Source organism: Homo sapiens, chromosome 18 (assembly GCF_000001405.40).
Source record: "Homo sapiens chromosome 18, GRCh38.p14 Primary Assembly".
Classification (NCBI taxonomy): Eukaryota; Metazoa; Chordata; class Mammalia; order Primates; family Hominidae; genus Homo; species Homo sapiens.
Genome location: NC_000018.10, coordinates 53,979,381 through 53,981,012, shown reverse-complemented (window position 1 = coordinate 53,981,012; position 1,632 = coordinate 53,979,381). Strand labels below are relative to the sequence as shown.

General features: G+C 40.1%; 1 annotated feature.

The window, feature by feature from the left end:
- Nucleotides 203-372: an enhancer, noted in NCBI's record as "experimental_48020 CRE fragment used in MPRA reporter constructs". NCBI's record gives its function as "activates a minimal promoter by MPRAs in K562 erythroleukemia cells, with activity observed for both the introgressed and non-introgressed 18:51507096 variant alleles {active_cell/tissue: K562}" and the evidence as "EXISTENCE:reporter gene assay evidence [ECO:0000049][PMID:34662402]".

Genomic DNA, 1,632 nt, shown 5'->3' with positions numbered 1-1,632 from the left:
GGATAACAATGGAATGTATACAATACTGCGGTTTACATTATATAAGACTTTGTGTATTAATATTACATGTTAAAATATTTAAGTTATTTTTATTATCTTCAAACCTACTTTACTTTTGGGAGATGATATCATTGAAGATATTTACCAGTGAATCCTGAGAAAACAGGAAAAGCACAAAGAAAACTTTTAATGGAAACATAACGTCCAACAATTTGTTAAAGTGTCTATAGCAACAAAATAATGAAAATCTAAGACATGACTTTAATTGAGGCAATGGTGTGGAACCCACAGCATTTTGCCTGGGTTTTAGTCAGTGACATGTCAGACTCATTATGTTTGATTCATTGGACTTCAGTGTCTGAAGCTGAGAACTGCACTTTCTATAAGCAGCTGTGAAAGAACAAATGATGCTATAAATGGACAGCTCAGCATCTTCACTGTTTGAAGGAGGGTGAGAGGATGTTTGTGTTGGCAAGTGTTTGGCAGTGTTGGACATCTTGCTGTTTTGGCCTTGAAGCTCACTTATTTGTATCTCAGGTATGTAGCACATAGGGACTTAATAGGTATCTGTTGTAAACCTTTACTCATTACTTCCTGGATATTGATCTTGGGCCATCGTTATGTGTGAAGTGTGAGAATTGGGAAAGTAATCTGATATCACTAACTTTAAAATGCATCAAAATGTAGAAGGTGTAAGTGGATGGAGGGGAGAAGAGGGTTGATACATGGATAGATAAGTGATAAAGCAAATATTCTAAAATGTTAAATGTGGAATTTAGGTGGTGAGTATCTGTTAACTGTACAATTTTCTACACTTGTTTGAATTCTTTATAATAAACTGAAAGAACTATAATAAAATAAAAGTAAACTGAAATAAAAGTAATAAAGTAAACTGAAAATAGAACTGTAGGGAGAAAAACAAACTAGGTTCTTTGCTGTTTTAAGAATTGTATCAATTAGACTGACACAGGACAAATACTACATGGTCCCACTTATATAAGGAATATAAACTCACAGAAGCAGAGAGAAGTCAAACTCATAGAAGCAGAGAAAAGAATGGTGATAGCCAAAGATTTGGGTTAGAAGGGAGAAGGAAACAGGTATTAGTCAAAGGATAGACAGTTGTAGTTATGCAAGATGAATAAGTTTTAGAAATTTCTATACCGTGGGCAGTTCCAAGATGGCCAAATAGGAACAGCTCCAGTCTACAGCTCCCAGCGTGAGCGACGCAGAAGATGGGTGATTTCTGCACTTCCAACTAAGGTACTGGGTTCATCTCACTGGGGCTTGCTGGACAGTGGGTACAGGACAGTGGGTGCAGCATACTGAGTGTGAGCCGAAGCTGGGAGAGGCATCGCCTCACCCGGGAAGCGCAAGAGGTCAGGGAATTCCCTTTCATAGCCAAGCAAAGCTGTGACAGATGGCACCTGGAAAATCGGGTCACTCCTACCCCAATACTGCGCTTTTCCAATGGTCTTAGCAAACGGCACACCAGGAGATTATATCCCATGCCTGGCTTGGATGGTCCCACGCCCACAAAGCCTCACTCATTGCTAGCACAGTAGTCTGAGATCGAACTGCAAGGCGGCAGCGAGGCTGGGGGAGGGGTGCCTGCCATTGCTGAGGCTTGAG